At 41.7% G+C, this 26,642-nt stretch overlaps 1 protein-coding gene and 1 pseudogene across 3 annotated transcripts in view; both read left to right on the forward strand.

The window, feature by feature from the left end:
- ALPK1 (alpha kinase 1) overlaps positions 1-26,642 on the forward strand; it is a 145,253-nt gene that overhangs the window by 36,036 nt on the left and 82,575 nt on the right. The gene's annotated exons all lie outside the window — the stretch shown is intronic.
- On the forward strand, positions 22,407-26,509 carry RTEL1P1 (regulator of telomere elongation helicase 1 pseudogene 1; annotated as a pseudogene).

Genomic DNA, 26,642 nt, shown 5'->3' on the forward strand with positions numbered 1-26,642 from the left:
GAGTGATACGCTGCAGGGTTGAGTGAGCAGATCACCCTCACAGATCCATTCTAATATTTCTATCTCTAAGTATCTGTGTATCTTCATCCACATTATACTAATTTCTAACAGCTTGACTTCCTTTAGTGTAGGCCACCACTGAGTCCAGGTACCAGCCAACCAACTGAACAAATGGTCATAACCAATCTCACCTACCAGAACTAGCGCATTTACCAGAGTCTCTGGTAGATGAACCCACATTAATGTTTGACCCAAAGGAGCTATATTCCTTTCTTCTTCCTTCATTTAGCACTTAAGAATCCATTTTCACACATATTCCACTAGTTTCTGTTGACATAAATTAGAAAAAAAATTCTACAATTCTATTGGTGTGTAAGCCCATTCTCGTGTAGGTGTAACTTGGTTAGACTCTCCTTCTGATATTTAGACACTTCTGCCCCACAGCCTCTCTAAGAGAAGCACGAAGCTTCTTAATGCTTTTTCTTTTCCTTTTGCTTTTGTTTTTTGTTTGTTTGGTTTTGTTTTTTGTGTTTTTTTTTGGTAAACAGCATAAATAGGCTTTATTTTTATTTATTTTTTAACTTAACATAGAGCAACACTGATGTATTGTTTGTTCTTTATTTTATAATTTTTACAAATGTATAGTACTGTGTAACGAACACCCTCATCAAGATACAGAACAAATTTCCCTCTAAAGCATGCTTTAGATGCATATCACAAATTTCCTGAAGAAAAACAGTTTTCCAGGCCAGGCTCAGTGGCTCACGCCTGTAATCCCAGCACTTTGGGAAGCCAAGGCAGGCAGATCACTTGAGGTCAAGAGTTCAAGACCAACCTGGACAACATGGTGAAACCCCATTTCTACTAAAAATACAAAAATTAGCCAGGTGTGGTGGCATGCGCCTGTAGTCCTAGCTACTTGGGAGGCTGAGCCATAAGAATCGCTTGAACCTGGGAGGTGGAGATTGCAATGAGCCAAGATTTCACCACTGCACTCCAGCCTGGGTGACAGAGGAAGACTCTGCCTCAAAAAAAAAAAAAAAGAAAAGAAAAGAAAAGAAAGGCAGTTTTCCCTGTCCATACTGCCAATAAATGAAGCTTTGTTCAGGGCCAAGTTAATACGGCAAGAATCTAAATAATATTGTTTAGGATAGTGTATACTATGGGGATATCAAATTTTAAGGTGGTTTTAAAGTTTTAAGGTGGTTTTAAAGCTTAGTTCTTATATAGGAGTCTTGGCATATTAGTAGGGCATGTATATCCCAGGGGATATAGGGGAAAGTCACAATAAGGAGGAATTTTACCTATTATTTTAAACTAGGTAACTCAGAGGCTCTTCTAATGTTGGACCCAAATCCTTGTACTATAGGATTCTTTTGGATCTAATTATTCTGCTGGAAGCTGGATGAGAAAAAAAATCCTGGGCTACTTTGTTTTGTATGATCATTGTTGCCCATATACAGTTACTGCTAGAGCCAGAAAGGAAAATTGGATAACAAAGGTCTTGGATTAGCTTTTGCCAACCTACCACATTCCAGGGGTTCACAGTACCTATGTTAAGATCCTTTTTTAAACAGGGCACAGTGGCTCATGCCTGTAATCCCAGCACTTGGGAGGCCGAGGAGGGCGGATCACCTGAGGTCAGGAGTTTGAGACCAGCCTAACCAACATGAAGAAACCCCATCTCTACTAAAAACACAAACTAGCCAGGCGTGGTGGCACATGCCTGTAATCCCTGGCACTTGGGAGGCTGAGGCAGGAGAATCGCTTGAATCCGGCAGGCGGAGGTTGCGGTGAGTCAAGATCGTGCCATTGCACTCCAGCCTCCAGCCTGGGCAACAAGAGTGAAAATCTGTCTAAAAAAAAAAAAAAAAAAAGATACTTTTTGAGTCAGGGAAATGCAGTCATTTGCTTTTGGGCACTTATTGTGATTCTAATCATTGAGCTGTAGTCTTTTCTAAAGAACAAGGTAAGCCAGATGATCAAGGTTCTTTTCATTTTGCAAAAGGTAGATATGAATGCCTTTGTGGGAGGATGGTTGGATTCCTGTCCTCTTGTAGTATTGGATGTTCTTAGCAGGAAGTAGAAGCTGGAGCCATCTTGGGATAGAAATGAACAAGCTCACTGGAATCCTGTTTGAGGGAATGTGGCAGGACAGGGACTAATATCTGTGTGGGGTGAGTTTCTGAGTACCAGCTTTGAGAGAGCTGCATAATGGATATAATATATTCAAGCCACATAATCTGGAGGCAAAAAATATAACTCTTTATATTTTTCAATGACAGTATAATCTCTATCTCAAAATGCCATTTCATCTGAATAAGGGAAAGCTTGACCTAGTTAAATCTAGGCAGATTCCAGTAATAAAGGGTCTTCCTCATTAATTCTTGGCTTTCTTGGACTTCTCCTGAGGAGGACAGGTGCAGGGCTTTCACAGAGGGATCACAGTTCAACAGCTCTGATTCATCCCTTGCGTTCTTGGGATTTTTATTCAATCTGAATGGATATGGGAAGTGCTTATTTTTTATAGCATGTAAGTTCTCTGTCATGAATCTTTCATGGGGCTTTGCATTCTGAAAAAATAAATGAACGTAAAACCAACCAACCAACCAACCAACCAATCCATGCCCTTGGCTGGAGTCTACCTCTCAAAACGATTAAATCTACTTTTGTTTACTGCTATATCCCTAGTACCTACAATAATGTCTGGCACATAGTAGGTACCCAATAAATATTTGTTGACTATCTGAATGAATGAGTGAACAGGGGAATGAATCAAAGTGTAGGTTTTCACTTGCTCTTTTCAGACCTAGTGATCCCAGCAGAAAAGTAATCAAATGAGCAGCCACACACAGTGGAGATAGGTGAGGAAGTACCCTGGGCAATGGAAAGTAGATTCATTAAAATAATGGGTAAAATGAGATTCAGACAGATGTCACTTAGTGTTAAATCCAGGGAAGACAGACCTACAGAAACTACATTTGGAAATATTAATTTTCCTGTTGAAAAAAAAAGTTTTAACTGTAAGCAAGTTGCTCAATCTCTTTGGGCCATTTGCCTCTTTTGTAAATAGAGATGACCAAAAATTAATGAATGAAATTTAGCTGAATATAATTTTTAGCATCTTTATGGAAGATGCTAAAATTCACATATCATAAAATTTAACCATTTTAAGGGTATAATTAAAGTTTTCTTCCCTCTTAAATAGCTTGAATCCATTTCTTATTAAATATGTACTTGGCAGTTAATATTTTGGAGCTATGGATGGGCAACAACAGCGTCTTCTATAGTTATCTTTTTTGTTCATGGTCTTGGTCAGGTATTAATAATAGTGTTATGCTGGCCTTATAAAATGAACTAGGAATGTCTTTTATATTTTTCTATTAGCTATATAATCTAAATATCCTAGAAATTACACATTTCCAAAGAATTTGGTGGAACTAGACTACAACCACATCTGAATCTGGTACCATTCTTGGAAATAATAGGCAAATTTTTCCACTTATTCTTAACTAGAAATTTTTTTTTTCTTCAACCAGTCTTAATCATCTATTAAAAATTGTTCTAGAAAATGTAGTTCATATAAGTTTTCATGTTTTAAAATTGGATTTGTACATCATAGTTTATTATACTTCTAAAGTCTTAATCATAATACTGTTTTTATTCCTTTTCCCATTCTGAAAAGAGTCCTTTTTTTATTAGATTTTCCTGAAAGCCACTTTACTGACTTTTTAAACAACAAGATTTTTAAATTTATCTACTTTTTATAAATCATTATTTAAAAAATATATATGTTTATGCATTCCCCCAACTTCCCAAGTTTTAGTTTGTCTCTCTTTTTACTTCTTTGAAATAAAAGCACATTTTATACTTCTTCGCTTTTATTATTAAAGATTATAAAGCTATAAATTTTCATCTAAACATAGTTTTGGTGGCATTAAGTCTGGAAATGTATTGGAAAATGACAATAAGATGGTTTCTGAGTGCTATTGGAACTTCCAAGTGTTGGGCTGGGTGCAGTGACTCAAACTTGTAAGCCCAGCATTTTGGGAGGCTGAGGCAAGAGAATTGCTTGAGGTCAGGACTTTGAGACAGCCTGGGCAACAGTAGTGAGACTCCATCTCTACAAAAAAAATTTTAAAAATAAAAATGAGCCAGGCATGGTGGCATATGCCTGTAGTCCTAGCTACTTGAGAGGCTGAAGTGGGAGGATCATTTGAGCCAGGAGTTAGAGGCCACAGTGAGCTACAATCATGCCACTCCATTCCAGCCTAGGCAACAGAGTAAGACTGTGTTTTTAGAAAGAAAAGGAAAGGAAAGGAAAGAAAGAAATTTCCAAGTGGCTCAATAAAAAAATTTAATTTTAAATTAATAATTTAGAGCTTTTATGAGTTGTGGTCAAATAATTTTTTCCTTTTGAGGATTTGTGAAGCATCTCTTAAGCCTACTATACTGTGAATTTTCAGAGATGTTCAGTAATAAGTTTAAATATATGTTTATTTTGCATAAAAGCCGAATGGTTTGCTAATAACTTTTTAAATAATTTTGATTAATAAACTATTTTATGTCATTTTTCTTTTGAGAGGGAGTATCACTCTGTCGCCCAGGCTGGAGTGCAATGGCATGATCTCGGCCCACTGAAACCTCTGCCTCCCATGTTCGAGCCATTCTCCTACCTCAGCTTCCTGAGTAGCTGGGATTACAGACGCACGCCACCATGCCCAGCTAATTTTTGTATTTTTAGTAGAGACGGGGTTTTGCCATGTTGGCCAGGCCAGTCTCGAACTCCTGACTTCAGGTGATCCACCCACTTTGGCCTCCCCAAGTGCTAGAATTCAGGCGTGAGCCACCGCGCCCGGCCGTCATTTTAATTTTTAAGTGTATTCATTCTCAATGTTTTTTCCCCTAGGAAAACTGTTTTTGAGTAAAATATCTTGAATAATTGTAAATCTACCCAAAAAGCATAGAGTTTTTTTCTATACTTTTTTTCTACCTTGTTTAAATTAGAAAGTGATACTAAACAGACAATCAGAAAAAATGTATATAAGGGATAAGAGGAAAAGTCTATACTTTTTTTACCTTGTTTAAATTAGAAAGTGATACTAAACAGACAATCGAAAAAAATATATGTAACGGATAAGAGGAAAAGCCTACAGAAAAGATGCTTAATAAGTTTCAAAGTGGTGCAGGCATAGAAAAATGCATACCACTTGGGAAAGGTATTTGCTAGTGTCTGGAAGGCTGCAAATAAAGTCATAAGGTCTTTCAGAGTATGTTTTACCTTGGAAGTGAGTGGAATGTAAGAACAAGCAGAGAATTACATTAACTATAAATAAATTTCAGCGTGAATATAGATATTGCCAGCATTAAAGGAAGATGGCATGACAACTACTAGCAAAGTTTTCATTTAATTTCTGAAAGTGCCAAAGTGGTTCACAGGAACAGAGATACAATTATAACTGGTCACCTACCTCATGGTCACCTCAGGAGAGCAGGCAAAAACTACCTGCTACGTAGTGGGCAAACCCATTTAACACCAAACTCAGAGTTCCTTCCACTGTGCTGTAAAGCCTCTCTAGCATATGCTTGTGAAGAAAATGGCTACTTTAAATAAGAAGCACTACTGAGAAATGTTCTTTACTCTGCATGCATCTTCAAAAATATTTGAAATTACCCACAATGAGAGACACAGGTGTGTCCAGAACTCTTAAGTCAAGGGTAAAGAAGATGGACCAAATAATGAAAGGTGTGGGTTAGACAGTTTGTACAAGGTTATCCAAATGAGGGACAACCCTGGATCTGAGCACAAATCCTGGCTCTGAGTTTCCTGGGAGTAAAAGCAAAAAGGGATAATATGATGAGGTTCCGGTGTCCATAATCAAATAAGAAGAAATATATTTCTTTGGCATAAAAATCAAAATGTCTCTTGCTTTGATATCATAGGACAATTTACTATGTGGGGCTTTAAGTAAAATAACATTAGATAGTGTAACAGACATCTTCAATAGCAATTTTTACACAATAATTATTTTCAATATTACGAATAATTTATAAACCAATTATTTGTTTATAGATTAGTTAACTACAAGATAAGAAAAACAAAATCAGTCTTCTTTATAACACTTTTCTTTTAAAAAAATAATTTAAACATTATTAAAGGAATGTCATCAGTAGAATATAGACTTCACTAATTTTCCTTTGTTTTAACTAAAAAAATACATTTTCTGCAATGTTGTATAATTTTTAGTTTGCCATACTTTGTTGAAATTGAATCACTGCATCATCTATTGGCAGCTCAGTTGGATATAGTCAGCTGAGTTGTCTTTGTCTATGAAAAAGTGAGCTACCTAGAAATTACTGCATCTAAATGTTTAATGCTGCCCTGCAAAACTGTGACATCACTGAATCTCTTTCTCTTGATTATCCAGGATCAGATTCCCTAGACAGAAGGTGTGGTTAGCACTTGATCCTAATCAAAGGACCAAAAATACTTGGTTATAGTTCATTTTAATCTTAGTTGAAAAGATTGTGGATAGACACTTAGGAAAAAGTGAAATCAGCATAATATCGTCTCTTCAAGTGCAGTCCAGCTTTCAGAATGGTAACTTGGATTTCGGCCTCCTTGTAATTCTCCCTGATGAAAACAGAAGGATTTCACAGCACAGAAAGCAGTGGTTTATGAGTCTGGGTATGGACAGACACACAAGAGAACTCTGTTCATCGTCTTCAAAGTGATGCAGCGATGGCAAGACTGCTGCTGTGGCCACATGTAATATAGCCTGTAGCTCTTTAAAGAGGATTAGCCTTAGTGCGCTGGGAGCATTCAATGCTGGATTTCATGTAGAGCAGAATATGCTAATGAAATGTAAATGTCTACGGCAAACATTGCGTAATATAGAAAACCTTCAAAACTGAGCTTTGTCTCTTGCACGGTGGGAAACCAAACTTTATTACATCAGAAAAAAGTAAAAAAGAAATAACCTTATACTTTTCTGTCCTATGTATCTGCTTCTAAAAAAAAGTGAAGTTAAATGCATACACATACGTATTTATACTTAAATTAAATTTCAATGTTATTAGAAAAAGTAATTTCAGTCACTCAAAAATCTCTTACTAGATCTATGCCCTTGGGTGGATGTAAAATCATTTATCTCTGAAGAAAAAAATACACATAATATGGATTTTCTTAAACACTGTTATTAAGATTACAAAGGGCTTACAGAGTAGATTCCCCCCTCAACCCTTTTCACCTGAAAATTTCTTATTTGTGATTTCCACTTTGTGCGTGAGCAATGTCCTTCTACTCAATGTTGGGAAATGCTACATCTTCATAATTTTCCACATAGTGCTTTTACTACTTCATAGGAAGTCGGTATGAGATTTGATCAGTTTTTTAAAACTGCACATGCACTTAGTTAAGATATCAAAGTTATTTTCATTTTAGTATTAGAATTTCAGAACGCATTTGGTATTAGGAAAGTGAATTCACTGTAAGATGTGTGATTTGCAGTCCATGTAATGATGTGTAGCATCTTTGAATTCACGCACGTGGTTCCCAAAGATTGAAAGCCCCCTAAAGATTTTATCTCAATTGCTGGGAAATAAAGATCCCAGCAAACACATGGAACTGGGTGCTTAGTTACTAGCATTTCCCTACACTCAACCAAGTAGCTTAGGTTCTCTTGGTTTTTGTTGGTCGGTGGTGTGTGTGTCTGTGTGCGTGTGTGTTTTATATCTCAGTTTTGAAGGGTTTGTCTCTGTAGACATAGAGGGATGGTAATACATATTCATGAAAGCGTGTTCTTTCCAGTCCCTGTTAACACTGACAAAGCCTTAGCTGTTTCACACAGCAAGCTGACTGGGATTGTGTGTGGGGGCTGCATGGCCAGATTAGTGCAAACAGCAAGCCCACTCTGCTGCTCGTTAGGCCTTGCCTTCCTGACAATTTCCCCAATTGTCGCTTGTGACAAGGCTGTCATTAGGTGATGGCTTCTTTTGGCCATTTTCAGATAAAGATAATTTCCTTAACTTCCATTTTATTTGACAACAGGCAGTTTGGGAGAGAAAGGAAGTGCTTCAGTAGTATATAGATTAGGGTTTTGTCACTTCAAAGCCATCTTTGATCTAAAAATATGTGCTGTACCAAATTCATTATGTCTTTTTTTAAAGAGCTTTTAAATTTATTGATCTTCTCCTCAATTATTCTCCTTTTACGTCCAATAATGATGTGCGAGATGGTAGTGTTGGGCAAAGCCTAAGGAGGAGTGTGGGGTGAATGCAGCCAACTGGTCACTTCTGAGGTCATTACAAGAACGAAACAACAGGTGCTTTTGTTTAGTGTTGATTCTTTTCTGAATCCCTGTGTGGACAAAGGCTTCTCTTCTATTTATTGCTCAACATAATGATATCGGTGCCAAGAGAATAAGACAAAATTACGTTTGGTATTACAGCATAATAAGTCATAGCGTGTACAAAAATTGTGCCTACAGTTGCTTTCACCCTCACCTTTGAGGCCACAGGTTTCTCCAGCCAGCGCAGGAGTTCTGTGGAGAAAGAGCAAGAGACTTCTTTGTTGACCAACAATTTGACTTCCTCTAGAAGCAAGCTTACATTGTGCTGAAACTCAGCTTGCCAAAGTTCTTAGAATTGAATCATTAAAAAAATCATACAGAGAAGAAGAGAATAAGAATTCCTGTGTGAAAATGTACTTTAAAAATAGCACTATGAGCATTTATGGCTTAGACAGTAGGCCACTTGTTTAGAAGGTCCACTTGTCCTCCTTTTGTTGTTGTTGCTGTTGTACACAATGGTTGTGTGGAATTACTATGTTTTAAACAACACCTAGGACAAAGGGGTGTACAGTTTACATCCAAACTATCATGATTAGCAATTGTCTCCTAAAACTTCACATGTAATAACCAATTTAGGACAGAACAAGCTACTCATTTCCACTCCTGCAATTAGGAAAAGGAGGTGAAAATAAACACCTTAATTTCATTTTTTTGGTCTAAATGTTATGTTACTTGCCTCTTGATAGTCTACTTTATAATTTAGAATGATCTAGATGCTTTTGATATTTACTATTTTAGCAAAGAATTTCAAAATCTTATATATTAAAGAAAATATGTAATTTTAAAGCATGACCTCAGGCTCCTAAAAGCAATGACAATTGCTTCTTTTGAAAAATCACTTTTCTGAATTTTCAAAAGCTAGTATAACACAATGCCTTTCATTTTGCCTAACTAGTTTAGAGGTCTAGGACTCTATCCATGGACCTTCAATCCACAGTAAATTCTGGATAAAAACAGCCAGCATTTTCTATATGTCATGTACTTTTATCCTTACTAAGAAGTAGATACAATTGTTAGCTCAATTTTACAGATGAGAAAGTGAGACACAAAGACATTAAGCAACTTGCCCATTCTCTCATATTCCAGTAAATGTTAGAGCTAGAATTCAGACTTGGGTACTTTAGATCCAAAGCCTCTGCTCTTATTGCTGGGGCCCAGAATACATGGGACCTGGAATACCTACATACGCTTCTCCTGATTCCTCCTGGTACAGAACAAGTAAATGTTAGTTCTTCTCTCCCCTTCCATCCCTTCAGCTCCCCAGTCCTGGTCTCCTGCCCTACACAGTCCAAGCAAGTGGGCCAAGAGATTGCAGCAAAGGAGAGGGGCCAGAGAGGAATCTTATCTTCTGTCCTGGCTTCTCCAGTTTTCCTCCTGCCTGCACATTAAACACACAGGGACTGACGTGCTGAGACCTGGTAAATTCAGACAGTGGGGTTCACGGTTCATCGTATCCTTTGAAGGACTCCTCCACCACTTCATTCAAGATATCTGATGTCATTTCTCTTGACTTCGTTTTAACTAGAAAACCTTGATTTTGATTATTTTTTAATTTTTGGTGAAATCAGTAAATGCCATTTTGAAGAAAGAAAGAAGTAGACTATGAAGGAGAGTGTTTTGGGGAAAGATCTCTGTGTCGTCTTAGAGTTCACCTGCTTTGTGACTAGTGAATGCACTACAGAAACTGGCAGACAGCAACACCCTCAGCCTGCCTCGGAAGAGACAAAAGTAAATACCCGTCTCAAAGAGAATGCACTGAAATATGATATCAGCTGCAAGAGAGGGCCATCTCCTCCGGTCAAATGAGAAAAATCATATTATCCTCGCTGTGGTATACAAATAGCTTGTAAGCCACATTCTCCATTTGAATGATAACAATAAAGTGCTAACCTCGCTGCTGCAGGCCAGCCTGATCCCATCTCCAAACACAAACACTTCTGCCTGGGTTTTGGCTGGGGGTTGTGCTGTGGCCTCCCAACCCCCACCCTTTCCCCCCCTTCTCCCCCCTACCCCCGTTAATTGGCTGAGACCACCAGAATTTGGAGGACACAGATGTCACTGATAGTTTTCCTAGGGAGCACATTCATGCCCATCTGTTGCAGCCTAGAAGGCTGTTCATATATCCACAAGGCCTTCATTTAATTCTTGTCAGAAAGTAATGTAAATCCAGTTTACCTCAGAGGTCGCAGGCGAGATTTATGCCAATGAGCCCCCTGCAATTTACACACACTGTAGTTGTATAGGATGAAAAGAAAGCCTTTCATGTTGGTGCATATTAACAAGAAAGCCTGCCTTCCGAGAGAGGCTTTTTGATTGAGGTTTCTCCTGATTTTAATACAGCCGATGCCAGTTGGTATACCCAGCTTTAGAAAAGCGGGGAAAAAATCTAATCTTTAAACTGAAGTTTCTTCTTTTATAAGAAGTAAAAGAGAAAGAGTGAAATCCTAGCAAGTGGCACTGCCATGTCTTTAATTATCTCTTACTAGACAAAACTCCCTCGCACTTGGAGAAGACAGTGTGACAGGAGAGCACGTTCCAGCCTGAACTGCTGCGAGTGGAAGTCTAGGGAGAGCTCAGTTGTAAGCAATGATCTTTCCAATGTGAAAATAGTGGGACTGAACAGTTGAATTAGACTTCTGACTTTTTGTCTGTCTCTTTCTAGTATAGTTAAAGTATGGAGTTTGATAATTTGGATCAGGCTAGGTAGAAATTGATTCATCAGTAAATTGGAAGAAGACATATGTGATATATACATAGAAAATAATTCATAGAATTATCTTATTGGAAGTCTAAGAGCATTAAAAAGGACTTGGGTTACATCTTTCAATGTATTGATACATTTTGAAATATTCAGGACTGTGTAAGTAGGCTGGAAGGCAAATGGTTTTAAAAGCATTCATGGGGTCAAAGACTCCTGGAAATTCTGAATACACACCTTGTTTAGTATGTGACCTTGGGAAAGTTACTTAACCTCCATGACCCTCAACTTTCTCATCTCTAAAGTGGGGATCATAAAGCCAATATCACAAAGTTTTGTGTCTGAGGTGCACAGCATAGCACCTAAAGTACAGAAAGTATTTAACCAATAGCAATTTTCCCTCTCCACCTTGTCTTTTGGTGGTACCTGTGACAGCAAATTACAGATTTAAAATGTTAGTTAATTTGGTTCAAAACCTCTAAGCATTCAACTCACCAGACTACTTTTTCGTATTTAAAAAATGTTTAAAGATCAATGAAGTTGGAGATTTTCTTTCCCACTGTTTAGAATTTTTGTTGTCAGCTGTTTAATTTTTTAATTCTGTAGAAAGTAGAATAATAGAAGTGTGTTGGTTTCGGTAAAAGTAGGCATGGCTGCCATGCTCATTCAGAGTTGTAGCCTCTGATTTCCCAAGACAGTGTTAATAGGGGGCGTGCTTCTCGTGTTTTTATAGACAGTGCTCATTTACCCATACTAATGGCTTTGAAGTATATGGTATGATTATTTTTGCACCACATTTAACTTTTTGTTTGTATTTTGCTTAAGATAATATTAAAGTTCAGCTGTGATTTCTAAGTACATACTAACAGGACAATGAGGCACAGTAACCTAGAAGCATTACATGATGTGGATGTGGGTGGAATGGGGCCCTGATTAAAAATACAATGTGTTGTTGGCAACACAGTAAGCAGATACTCCAAATATGCATAATCTGGACTTAATTACAGAATTGGATAAAGCAGTAGCTTCATTTTGCAGAGTAGTGGTCATATTAGGGAGGCCGAAGCCCAATTTTGTTGGTTATCTAAACCAGGGAAGAGGAGATTTCAAATAATTTCAGAACGGTCTCTTGCTGCCTCTCAAAATTCATCAAGACCATTCCTTTTTGTTGGGGTCCTCAAAAGAGAATTTTTAAATTTTTTATTATTAAAAATTTCGAATATGTTGTTACAAAAGTAGAGGGAGCAATGTAAAAACTTCATGTACTCTTATGTAGCTTCAACATTTAATAGTCCATAGCCAACCTTGACTAATTTACATCTTTAATTTCTCCCCAGCTCCATGCCTCAAATTCTTTTGAAACAAATCTCAGACTCCATATAATTTCATTTCTAAGTATTTCAGAATGTATCCCTAAACGATATGAACTCTTGGAGTTTCACTCTTGTTGCCCAGGCTGGAGTGCAATGGTGCAATCTCGGCTCACTGCAACCTTTGTCTCCCGGGTTCAAGCAATTCTCCTGTCTCAGCCTCCTGAGTACCTGGGATTACAGGCGTGCGCTGCCATGCCAGGCTAATTTTGTATTTTTAGTAGAGATGGGGTTTCTCCATGTTGATCAGGCTGGTCTCGAACTCCCAACCTCAGGTGATCTGCCCACCTGGGCTTCCCAAAGTGCTGGGATTACAGGTGTGAGCCACCACGTCCAGCTGATATGAACTCTTTTTAAATATAACCACACTACTTTTATCCCACCTTAAAAATTAACACTAATTCTTTAATATCATTTATTATATCATATATTATCAGTCAGAAATCATGGGACTTTGAGTTTTAAGAAAGGAAATTCATTATTTGAGTCTCATATTACAAATTAGTTGTTTTGCTTCCATAACACAACAGTTTCATGAGGACTCTTAACGACATTCATTGTGGATTTATATGGTTGACACGTTTTGTGATATGTGGTAGTAACTTTTAGAATGAGAATGTGTCACCTTGTTGAAAAATAAAAATCACACCATCATTATGTTCCTACTCCATCTTCATTGATTCATTTGGATAAGTGTTTTCCAAACTTATTGGTGTCAATGAAATTGTATGTGGATGGCCATCATATAAAACAGATGGAAATGAAATTGCTCTGGGTCCATGATGCCAACCAGTCATTTGGCCTACTCTTTCCCCATGTGGGGCATTGCAGGTTTTGGTATGTGAAATGCTTTCTTAAGTATATACTATTTTCCCATTATGATTTCAGGGTAAGACAAATTGCTGTGTGAAACAGTTTTAAGAATAGAAGATTACACACATAGCCAACATCGAAAAACAAACAACAGTACAGTATTTACTTTTTAAGCTTCCTACCAGCAAAAATAATCTTTCACTTAAAGTAATTAAAATGTTTATTGTAATGGGAAGAGTCCACTGTGCTCATAAATAACGACCCCACTTCTCAGTTGACTACACTGGGGCCTCCTGGGAGGAGATGTATTTGCTTCCTGTCAGGATTAATCTATAAATGCAATCACCACTTAGACCTCATCAGTTCTTTTCTTCCCCTTCATTGGTCCTCTGGACTTATATTGTAGCTCGAATAAGGTCAAATTAGGATACTTTTTCCCCAGGAAAAATATAGCAGTAGCTGTTTCAGTGTTTTAAAATTTGAGAATCAAGCCTAAGAGTCGTGTCTTTAAATAAACTACATATACTTTTCTGTCATAGAATCAACATTCTGTTAAACTAATGATTTCTGCTTGTCAGTATGATGATCAGTTTCTTCCCCACAAAAAGCAGGACACAGAGTGGTCTCACATAAAACCACAGTGGCCTTAAAAGCTTATGTCTAACTTCTGGCACGTAATCTTAATGAGTTGCTATTTGAACTTTGACAAATCACTGAACTTTTGACTTAATCTTCAAATGGGAACCATATTCCTTGCTACCTTCCTCACTGTAATCTTATAAAAGTCATATCATCAACCCGATTCAATTTTCTTTGTCAAGATCTAATAATAAATACCTTTTCTTCTAAGTAGTATAATAGTAGGAAGGATGGAATGAATTCTCCAACTTTCCTAAATTTAAGTAAACTCATCCTGTGGGTCAGAATGTTGCTTTGGAATTTTTTACAAGTTGAATTATATAATTATGTTTACTTCTCGAATGAAGTTGTTTCTGTGGGTTGAAAATATCTCTTCTGTTTCTCTGGTAACCTTCCAAATACCAAATATGTATACAACAGATATTCAGTAAATGCTTAAATACCATTGAGAAGTTTACAGATACAGTGCATCTTATTTGATGCATTAAACTTCTAAGTTAGCTATGAAAGCCAAGCTTTAAGGAAAGAGCAGGAAGCAAGCAATTATTTTTTGCCAGTAATAGACTGTGTAAAAGCTAATATGTTTCACTTGCCTATTTCGATTTACTTATTTTTTAAAAATTTCCTGTATCACACTGTTAGCTCTATACTGGCAAATATTCCTTCATTAGCTAAAAGCAAAGAATAGAATTAACACTAAGTCTCAGATCGCCATCCTCCTTATTAGAGAAAGGAGAAAATGAGAGTTCTTCCGCTTGAAGAGGTACCAAAGAAAGTAAGCAGAGTGGTTCAAAAACAATAATCATCCCCTAAGCCAGGTGATTGGCGTTCTGAGCACATTTGCTCTGCAACTTAGCCGCATTTCACTCAGTCACATAACTCTTACAGAAAGTGTAGAATCCTGAAAGTCTAAAACTGTGCTCATTTTCCAAATCAGCCTGGTGAAATCTAGTTCTTGATTCTCAAATTCAGAATTTCAGTTTTAAGTTTAAGGGCATTAAAACTGCAAGTTATAGAGTGAATAGAAGAAGGCCTGGTTTTCTAAACAAGTCTGTTGGTCTCTGAAGGCTAGCTACACCAAGGCCTCTGTGCTTTGCACAAGCCATGAGGTGCTTAGGCGCGGTGTCGAGAGGTAAGTCAACAAAAAATGAAATGTGCTATCTTTTCTTTGCAGACACATTTTGAGTTTGTTCTCCTTAAGATCAGGCAGGACTAGTAGAATCCTACTGTCGACTGCTTGTCTTACAGAGTCCCTTGCTGCTGGCCTGTACTTAGTTGTCACTCTGTGAATAGCTTGGCATGTGGGTGTTTGCTGTCTTTGCGCCTGCAAAGTGTGCGGACATCCAGGCGGTTCTCCGTTACCATCTCCCTGCCACTTGAGGACATGCAAGTCCTATTTGTTTCCAAGCCAGTAGGAGGCTCCCTGCCAAGACCCATCGGCTGCTGGTGACATGAACACGCTGTGTGAATCACACAGCCACATGGTGGACTTTCATTATGTCAGCCCAGGAGTGTGGTCTGCCAATCCCCAGGCCAGAGGCCCACCCCTAGGCGCCTTTGACATTTTAAGTATAAAATAAATAAAGAGCTTTGTGTGTGTCTCGGAGCAAAGGAGAAGATGAGGGGCTGTGGGTGTTTCTGTCTGATCTGTAATCCGATGGAGGCTCTTCTTTCCTGTCAGCCACTTCAGGGCGCACTTCTCTGACACCTCAGACAGAGGCAGGCTGAGTGCCTGGAGGCAAACAGCTGATTAAACCAAGTTGGCTGGATGCAGTTTTTGTTTTTTTTTTGTCTTGTTTTAAGCAAATGAAATTCACATCTTTTTCCCTGAAAAAGTCTAATAAGTGGTCATAACATTTCAATTATTGAACAGAATTTCTATTCATTAATTGAATATGGATCCAGATAATTATCTAGGAGATAATCCCAGTGGCAAAAACTGCAATTACTTTTGCATCAACTTATTATTACGTGACTTTATACTGGAAAAATATCAGGAACCTGAAGACTTTGCATAGTCAAGCAATTTTATTTCTCAAAAACCTAAATGGTAATGAAGCCAACAAGGAAACCAAATCCAGAGTAAACTAGGAGAGATTGGATAACCTCTTAAAAAATAAAATTTAATTTCTTGAAAACTTTATTGATAGCAATAATTGATACCTATGAAGCACTCACTATGTGCTAGGCAATTTTTTTTGTGTTTTACATATGTTAATTCAGTTGATGCTTATAAAACTGTGAGATTGATCCTATTATTACCGCCCCAACCCCTGCCCCCCCCCGCTTTATTTTTGAGACAGAGTTTTGTCCTGTCACCCAGGCTAGAGTGCAGTGGTGCAATCTTGGCTCACTGCAACTTCCGTCTCCCAGGTTCAAGCGATTCTCCTGCCTCAGTCTCCCGAGTAGCTGGGACTACAGGCGTGTACCACCACGCCTGGCTAATAGTTTGTATTTTTAGTAGAGACAGGTTTCACCGTGTTAGCCAGGATGGTCTTGATTTCCTGACCTTGTGATCCACCTGCCTCGGCCTCCCAAAGTGCTGGGATTACAGGCACGAGCCACCACGCCCGGCCTACATTTTAATTTTTTAAAAAAACTCTTAAGCTTTTTTTGTGAGCAGAAATTCTCAAGTATCTAAGCATGGTATTTTAGGCTCCAGAAGAAATTCACTATTACAGTGTCCTAGTAGCCCAGACCTATGAGAAAACTGAGACATGATTTGCCTAAAGCTACTCAGCTAGTAAGTAGCAGAAATTTAAATCTAGGAAGCCTCACTGCAAAGTGCATGTGCTTAACTTGGCTGTTTATTGATAATCAAGACAGTGAAACCACAATTCTTCATTTCAACATCTTCATTTTTCTGCTCCTGTTATTTCAGAGCCCCCACATCCCATTACTCCAAGACAGATTGCTCCTTTGTGGGCTATCTCTAACTTCAAAGCTACATAGTTCTATGCAAAATAAATTAACTTTCCTGGCTGTGAAAATTATAAATACAGATTTTAAAATACTCTGTTGCAAAACGATCCTTAATCCGCACATTTCCTGGCCTCATCAAAATAATGCAATGCTTCACAGCCCTGACAATTTTATATTACAATATGCTTCATGCTGTTTTCATGTACGTATCACACCAACATCGGGACCCTCCCTCCTCCTACTCCATCCCTGGAGAGATGCAGCAGTTTTGACATTCTGACTCCGTTGGTATAAACAGCGCATTTCCGTTGCCTCACCCACTGTAGCACAGACTAAATGGTCAAGACTACTCCATTTCTTCTTCTGAAGATAAACTATTTCTCTTCCACCAAAATTACTCTTGCTGAGTTTTTCTCCAGACCTCTGGTACCATTTAGTGGAAAGCAAAGTGATCATGCGTTTTCAGGACAAGTCAGGACTCTGCACTCTTATCCTGATCTTCTCTGTCATAGCTTTTGGAAGTCATTCAGCTTACTCCTGCCTCTTCACCTCCATGGCTCAAATTCTTTACCTAGAATATAGGTGGACACTATCTGCCTCTCAGAGAATACATCTCAAGTTGAAGGCTCTTTAAAGTTTATGAAATATTTTCCCCTACTTTATGACTGCCTCCTAGTATCATGATAGTTCTGGATTTGGGGACATATGGGGTGAGTCTATGTGAGCGTTCTCTCATTTGGGGTGCAGAAATGCCAAGAAAACTTTCCTGGAAGTACCATTTTGAAGTCATCAGTGCAGGAGCCTGGAGCCAGGACCAGATGGCAGGCTTGACTCACCTTGACCTGAGATGTCGCTCTTCCAGCTATGTGGGCCAGGCTAATAGTTCGTCAGATGTCACCATGGCTGATGGAGTGGGTAACTGTAGCTGGAGAGTATGAGCGGCAGCCTCTGCAGTGATGGCCTTTTCTTTTTCCTATTTTTTCTTCTTCAGGCCGGGAGGTAACCCATTCATGACCCGGAACACTCTCATTGCACTTCCTTGAGAAGTCAAGTTTGGTAAACACGTGCAGCTGCAGTGAACTGGACAGAGGAGGGTGGGACACAAAGGCAAGAGAGATAGAGGGAAGGGACAGCTTTGGCATCTAATTTCCCATTTTAATAAGGTGTTGTCCTCAGACTGTAAGTGTTGATATGAAAGTGACATAGCAAAGACCTTCATTTTCACTTACAGAATTTCCTAAAATATACTTTGCTTTAAAAAAAAAATCAGACACTTCTTTTTTTTCATTTTTTTTTTATAGAGTCTTGCTCTGTCACCCAGGCTGGAGTGCAGTGGCACGATCTCGGCTCACTGCAGCCTCTGCCTCCCGGGTCCAAGCAATTCTAATGCTTCAGCCTCCCGAGTAACTGAGATTACAAGCACGCGCCACCATGCCCAGCTAATTTTTGTGTTTTTAGTAGAGATGGGGATTTGCCATGTTGGCCAGGCTGGTCTCGAACTTCTGACCTCAGGTGATCTGCCCGCCTCAACCTCCCAAACTGTTGGGATTACAGATGTGAGCCGCTGTGCCCAGTCTTTTATTTCATTTTCTATGTAAATAGAATGAAAAGATAAGTTGAATTTCCTGGCAATCTAGTGTTTCTCAAACTAATAGTTCAAACTGCTTATATATAATCAATTATCTCAATAGACTATGTTTACCATGGATCCCCAACATAAAATGAGGATCTCCTCCTCACAGTCTTTGTTCATGTCATTCTCCAACTAGAATTCTTTTACTCACTTGTCCATCCAGCAATTCCAAATCCTATTCCCTCTAGAATTACCTGTGCAAGTGCCTCTCCCTGCTCTGAAAGGATGTATCTTTTACCACCTCTCAATGGAGTCCCTGGTTCCAACCCTAAAAGCAGTAAATGATATTCATTACCAACCCAATACTTCCAGGCTTGGGTTTTCATTTTATTCTTTTTAATATTTTCATCAAATGCGGAACAACTATCGAGAATTTATAAAATAGATGTGATATACATGGAACATGATGAATACCCAAAGACCAAGCCATAGATTTAAATAGAAAAACATACCACTTGCTTTGAAGTCTCCTCCATGTGCTTCCTTTACATCTTCTTCCTGCTCCCCTCAAAAAATCCACAATTCTGAGTTTTAGTTAATCATTACTTTTCTTTGTAATTTTACTATATACAGTCATCCTTTGGTATCCATGGGAGATTGGTTCCAGGATCTCCAGGATACCAAAATTCTTGGATGCTCAAGTCTCTGATATTATAGAAAATGGCATAATATTTGTATATAACCTACACATATTCTTACCCATAACTTTAAATAATCTCTAGGTTACTTGTAATACCTAATACAATGTAAATGCTATGTAAATAGTTGTTATATTGAATTGGTTTTTTAGTTGTATTATTTTTGTTTTTCTAAATATTTTGATCCACAGGTGGTTGAATTCATAAATGTGAAATGCACAGATACAAAAGGCCAACTGTATATTTGTATCCTGTAACAATATATTGTTTGGTTATAATGTTTGTAAATTTTACCCATGGATTCCTCTGTGACTGCTTTTTATATTTCTAAGATTTACCCATGTTGTTATATGTAACCATAAGTTATTCATTTGTTTATTTTTTCCCAATGTATGAATGTACTTCAATTTCCTTCCTTCCTTCCTTTCTTTCTCTTTCTTTCTTCCTTTCTTTCTCTCTCTTTCTGTCTTCTCTCTTTTTCTTCTTCCTTTCCTTTCCTTTCCTTTTTTTTTTTTTTTTTGAGATAGGGTCTCATTCTGTCACCCAGGCTGAACTGGACTGCAGTGGTGCAATCTCAGCTCATTGCAACCTCTGCCTCCCAGGCTCAAGACATCCTCCTACCTCAGCCTCCTGAGTAGCTGGGACCACAGGTGTGTGCCACCACACCTGGTTAATTTTTGTATCTTTTGTAAAGATGGAATTTTTCCATGTTATTCAGGCTGATCTTGAACTCCTGGGCTCAAGTGATCTGCCTGCCTCAGCCTCCCAAAGTGCTGGGATTACAGGTGTGATCACCGAACCTGGCCATACTTCACTTTTCTAATCCACTCTCCCCATGAAGGACATATGGTTTGTTTCCTTTTGTTTGTTTGCTATTACAAACTGTGTCACTATAAAGATTCTTATACATAGCCCCTAGACACAGATACAAGAATTTCTCTAAATTAGAGTATATACTTAAGAGTGGACACTGGGTCAGTGAGTGTGCATCTTTGATTTTACTGGATAATGCCAAACTGTAGGTTCCAATAATGGTGACTTGGAGTAACTAACACTGACTGTTCTTGATGATTGTTATTATCCATTTACTTTTTTTTCAATCAAGAAGTTGCAAAGGGGCCGGGCATGGTAGCTTACACCTGTAATCTCAGCACTTTGGGAGGCCGAGGCAGGTGGATCACCTAAGGTCAGGAGTTCAAGACCAGCCCAGCCAACATGGCAAAACCCTGTCTCTACTAAAAACACAAAAACTTAGCCAGGTGTGGCAGTGCAGGCCTGTAATCCCAGCTACTTGGGAAGCTGAAGCAGGAGAATTGCTTGAACCTAGGAGGTGAAGGTTTCAGTGAGCCGAGATTGCACCACTGCACTCCAACCTGAGCTACAGAGTGAGACTCTGTCTCAAATAAATAAATAAATAAATAAATAAATAAATAAGTTGTGCAGGGTTTCCCATTGTGGTTTGAACTTGTATTTCCTGATTACTAATGAGGTCAGACACTTTTCATATGTTTATTAGCCATTCACATTTCTTCTCCTGTGAAGTGTCTGTTCAAGTCTTTTGTCTATTCTTTTCCTACTATGTGGTTGGTCTTTTTCTCATTGATTTACAGAAATTCTTTATATATTCAGGGTAGAAATCTTTTGTCAGCTACCAAAGCTACAAATACTGTCTCCCAGTTTGTGATTTTTCTTTCCACTTTTTTTATGGTGTCATTTTACTAATCAGAAGTTTATCCTTAATTACAATATTTTCCCTTACGATTTGCTTGTTTTTTTTCAAGCAATTAAAAATTTATTTCCTAATGAAAGGTATTCTCCGTTAGATATTCTCTTTTACACACTGTGTAGTTTTGTCTTTCACATTTAAGTTTTTAACTAACATTGATTTAAAATAAATAACCAGTTAGCTCAATGCCATATACTGAGCTCTATAATAAATCAAGTTCCCGTATATATGTAAGGTCAATTTTTCTTTTACTGTTTTTTGTTTTGTTTTTGTTTTTGTTTTTTGTTTTCAGACACAGTCTTACTCTATCAGCCAGGGGCTGGAGTGTAATGGCATAATCTTGGCTCACTGCAGCCTCCGCCTCCCAGGTTCAAGTGAATCTCGAGCCTCAGCCTCCCAAGTAGCTAGGATTACAAGCATGAGCCACCATACCCACCTAATTTTTGTGTTTTTAGTAGAGATGGGGTTTCACCATGTTGTCCAGGCTGGTCTCGAACTCCTGGCCTCAAGTGATCCACCCACTTCCGCCTCCCAAAGTGCTGGGATTACAGGCATGAGTCACCATGCCTGGACTGTAAGATCAATTTTTCTAAGTGACAATAATTTTTGCATCATTTAATTATATACTAATTTATTAATTATTGACATTTGGTATAACACTGTGCTCTCCTCATTATTTTTCATCAGGAATGTCTTTATTATTCTTGAACTGTTTTTCCCTACAAATTTTAAAATCACCTTTTTAGGTTACACACAAAGACACACAGACACAAACAGAACTGTTGAGATTTTGACTGGAGTTGCATTAAAGTTACAGACTAATTTGAATGTTGAGTTTTCCAGACCACAAACAGAGTATCTCCTCATGTCTTCCCATGAGGTAAATGTTACAGTTTTTTCTCTGAAAGTCTTGTGCACATGTTAGAATTATTCTCAGATACTTCATGTATATTATTTTTATACCTTACATATTTTGTACCATTGTAAATGGTGTATTTTTATTAAATTTCATTTTCTAAGCATTTGTTGCAAATTTAAGATATTTTGCCTAAGGTTAGATTTATTGGGTTGTTGAACGATTTGTAAAATTTTGTTAGTAAAATTATATGTTTCAAGTCTGCCTTGCTGTCAACCAGTGCTGGATGCTGGGGACTCAGGGAGGCCCACCCGGGCCAGTGGGGGAGACAGCGACACGAGCAGAAGCTGGACCGAGCGGGAGAGGAAGAAGGAGGAGGTCAGGGCTATCAGGATCCAGGTTCTGGGCAAGGGGCAGCCGTTCTCAAATTTTCAGGAAAGCGGTCGGCTCACACTCGGGCAGTAGAAGGATGCCTCTGGGGAGGAGGCCCATGCAGCTATCCAGGAAATGATGGTGGCTGGGCCTAGGGAGGTGGCAATGGAACGGAGACCCTGGTCGGGGATGACATCAAAGGAGGAGACGGGCGGGACCCCAGATTTCTGCCTGTGGGCGATGGAAGTGAGGTTCACTGGGCAGGGAAGCTGGACACAGAACGCTCAAAGGGCTGCATAGACCTCTAGGGCCCAAAGAGCAGGCGGACCCCATCCGTGGGGTAACAGTTTCCTCCTGGAGCACAAAGCAGCAGACTGGAAGTGGGGGCGGAAGTGCACCGCGCTCAACCGCAACTGCGCGCCTCAGTCCGCGAAGTCTGAACTGCCTGACAAAGGGGGACCCGGTGGCAGCGCTCGACTGGAGTCGGTTGAGGTCCTGAGGTCCCCCGGTTCTGGAAGGCTGGCCGGGGAGACAAGAGAGGAGCCTGTGCCATAGGGATTCTAGAAGAGAACAGCGTTGTGTCCCAGTGTGCATGCTCGCATCACTTACCAAGAGCGGCTGAGAGCCTGAGATGTTTGGAGTGTTTTTTTCTCACAGACCCGAATAGCCTGCCCCTCAGCCACCCTCTGTGCCCTCCTGAGAACAGGCTGATATGCCCAAGATAGTCCTGAATGGTGTGACCGTAGACTTCCCTTCCCAGCCCTACAAATGCCAACAGGAGTACATGACCAAGGTCCTGGAATGTCTGCAGATGAATGGCATCCTGGAGAGCCCCGCGGGCACAGGCAAGACGCTGTGCCTCCTGTGCACCACCCTGGCCTGGCGAGAACACCTCCAAGACACCATCTTTGCCTGCAATTTTGCCGATAGGGTGCAAGGGGAGCTTCTCTCAGATCAGGCCTTTGTCATCCTGGGGCAATGCTGCTGCTGATAATGGAGACCCCTTAGCTTGCTACACGGACATCCCAAAGATCATTTACGCCTTTAGGACCCACTCGCAACTCACACAGGTCATCAACAAAATTCAGAACACCTCCTACCGGCCTGAGGTGTGTGTGCTGGGCTCCCGGGAGCAGCTGTGCATCCACCCTGAGGTGAAGAAGCAGGAGAGTAACCACATGAAGATCCACTTGTGCCGCAAGAAGATGGCAAGTCGCTCTGTCATTTCTACAACAATGTAGAAGAGAAAAGCCTGGAGCAGGAGCTGGCCAGCCCCATCCTGGACATCGAGGACTTGGTCAAGAGGGGAAGCAAGCACGGAGTATGCCCTTATTACCTGTCCCGGAACCTGAAGCAGCAAGCCGACATCGTCTTCATCCCATACAGTTAGTTGTTGGATGCCAAGAGCCGCAGAGCACACAACATTGACCTTAAGGGGACGGTCGTGATCTTTGATGAAACTCACAAGGTGAAGAAGACGTGTGAAGGATTGGCATCCTTTGACCTGACCCCCCATGACCCGAGTTCGGGACTGGACGTCATAGACCAGGTGCTGGAGGAGCAGATCAAGGTGGCACAGCAGGGCCAGCCCCAACCGGAGTTCAGCGCGGACCCCACCAGCTCAGGGCTGAACATGGAGCTGGAAGACATTGCAAAGCTGAAGATGATCCTGCTCTGCCTGGAAGGGGCCATCGATGCTGTTGAGCTGCCTGGAGATGACAGCGGTGTCACCAAGCCAGGGAGCTACATCTTTGAGCTGTTTGCTGAAGCCCAGAGCACGTTTCAGACCAAGGGCTGCATCCTGGACTCACTGGACCAGATCATCCAGCATCTGGCAGGACGTGCTGGGGTGTTCGCCAACACAGCCGGACTGCAGAAGCTGGCGGATATTGTCCAGATTGTGTTCAGTGTAGACCCCTCCGAGAATGGCCCTGGTTCCCTGGCAGGGCTGGGGGCCTATAAAGTGCACATCCATCCTGATGCCAGTCACCAGAGGGTGGTTCAGCCATCTGATGCCTGGAGCACCACTGCAGCAGAAAGCGAGGGAAGGTGCTGAGCTACTGGTGCTTCAGTCCTGGCCACAGCATGCGCAAGCTGGTCTGTCAGGGCATCTGCTTTATCATCCTCACCAGTGGCACACTGGCCCCCGGGTCCTCCTTTGCCCTGGAGTTGCAGATCCCTTTCCCAGTCTGCCTGGAGAACCCACACATCATCGACAAGCACCAGATCTGGGTGGGGATCATCCCCAGAGGCCCCGACGGAGCCCAGTTGAGCTCCGCGTTTGACAGACGGTTTTCCAAGGAGTGCTTGTCCTCTTTGGGGAAGGCTCTGGGCAACATCGCCCGCATGGTGCCCTATGGGCTCCTGATCTTCTTCCCTTCATATCCCATCATGGAAAAGAGCCTGGAGTTCTGGCAGGCCCACTACTTGGCTAGGAAGATGGAGGCGCTGAGGCCGCTGTTTGTGGAGCCCAGGAGCAAAGGCAGCTTCTCTGAGACCATGGGTGCTTACTAAGCAAGGATTGCCTCCCCCGGGGTCTACCGGCGCCACCTTCCTGGCGGTATGCCGGGGAAACACTAGCGAGGGGCTGGACTTCTCAGACACTAATGGCAGTAGTGTGATCATCACGGGCCTCCATAGCCCCCACGCATGGACCCCCTGGTTGTCCTTAAGATGCGAGATGAAGGGCCAGGTTGGGGCTGGGGGCCAGTTCCTCTCTGGGCAGGCGTCCAGGGCTGTGAACCAGGCCATCGGGCAAGTGATCTGGCACTGCCAGGACAACAGGGCTGTCTTCCTCTGTGACCACAGGGTTGCCTTTGCAGACGCCAGAGCCCAGCTGCCCTCCTGGGTGCGTCCCTACGTCAGGGTGTACAACTTCGGCCATGTCATCCAAGACGTAGCCCAGTTCTTCCGTGTTGCTGAGCGAACTATGCCAGCACCGGCCCCCTGGGCTGTAGCACCCAGTTTGCGTGAGGCAGAAGATGCTGTCAGGGTGACTAAGTCAACTGGCCCCCTCCTCTCCACCAGGAAAGCTAAGAGTCTCGACCTGCACGTCCTTAGCCTGAAGCAGAGGCCCTCAGGGTCACCAGCTGCTGGGGACCCGGAGGGCAGCCTGTATATGGAGTATGAGCAGGAGCCAGACCCTGCCTGGCAGAGGCCCTGGGGGCTGCTGGCCGCCCTGGAGCACAGCGAACAGTGGGCTGGGGGGCCCTGGCGAGGAGCAGGCCCACAGGTGCTCCACCCTGTCTCTCCCATCTAAGAGGCTGGCAGAGGAGCCGCAAGGAAGGAGGAAGAAGATCCAGCTGGTCAGCCACTCGGAGGAGCCCGTGGCTGGTGCACAGATGAACACGGCCAAGCTCTTCATGGTGGCCATGAAGTAGGAGCTGAGCCAAGCCAACTTTGCCACCTTCACCCAGGCCCTGCAGGACCACAAGGGTTCCGATGACTTTGCTGCCCTGGCGACCTGTCTTGGCCTCCTCTTTGCTGAAAACCCCAAGAAGCACAGCCAGCTCCAGGGCTTCTACCAGTTTGTGCAGCCCCACCACAAGCAGCAGTTTGAGGAGGTCTGTATACAGCTAACAGGACAAGGCTGTGGCTATCGGCCAGAGCACAGCATTCCCCAAAGGCAGCGGACACAGCCAGCCCTGGACCCCACTGGAAGGACAGCGCCGGATCCCAAGCTGACCCTGTCCAAGGCTGTGGCCCAGCAGCTGGATCCCAGAGAGCACCTCAACCAGGGCAGGCCCCACCTGTCCCCCAGGCCACCCCCCACAGGAGACCCTGGCAGCCACCCACAGTGGGGGTCCAGAGCGCCCAGAGCAGGGAAGCAGGGCCAGCATGCCATGAGCGCCTACCTGGAAGATGCCTGCAGGGCCCTGGAGTCTACAGGCTGTAGCCAGCTCTTGGCAGTGCTGACAGCCTACAAGCAGGATGATGACCTGGACAAGGTGCTGGCCCTACTGGCTGCCCTGACCACTGCGAAGCCTGAGAACATCCCCCTGCTGCAGAGGTTCAGCATGTTCGTGCATCCATACCACAAGCAGCACTTCTTGCCGACATGCACAGACCTGGCCAGCCAGCCCAACCCAGGCATGGAGCCGCCAGGACCCCAAGAGGAGAGCCTTGCCACGCCTCCTATGCTCACCCACGGGGCTTCCCAACCAGACCGCTCATGGTGCAAGAAGCCTGGGAAGACCCAGAGCAAGATCTCATCATTCCTCAGACAGAGGCCAGCAGGGGCCTTGGGGGAGGATGGTGCGGCTGCAGGGCGAAGCCAGTCCCCTGGACTTTCCCACGGGCATGCAGTATCTGAGTGGGGCCTCTAGGACGTGCCCAACCTGCACACTGCCTCCAGGAAGCAGAGCATCATGCAGGTCTTCTGGCCAGAGCCCCAGTGGGTGCCCATGGAGGCCCTCAGCATGCCCAGCGTGGCTTGATCACCTGCCTGTCCAGCTCTGGTGGGCCAAGAACTCACCCAACAGAATAGGCCAGAGAACACTTAAAATCTACTCTTAGCAATTTGCAAGCATACAATATAATTATTTTCAATAACTATAGTTATTAACTATAGTCACCAGATACAACAGACCTCTTGAGTTCATTGCTCCTCTCTAACTGAAATTTT

Source organism: Homo sapiens, chromosome 4 (genome assembly GCF_000001405.40).
Source record: "Homo sapiens chromosome 4, GRCh38.p14 Primary Assembly".
NCBI lineage: Eukaryota > Metazoa > Chordata > Mammalia > Primates > Hominidae > Homo > Homo sapiens.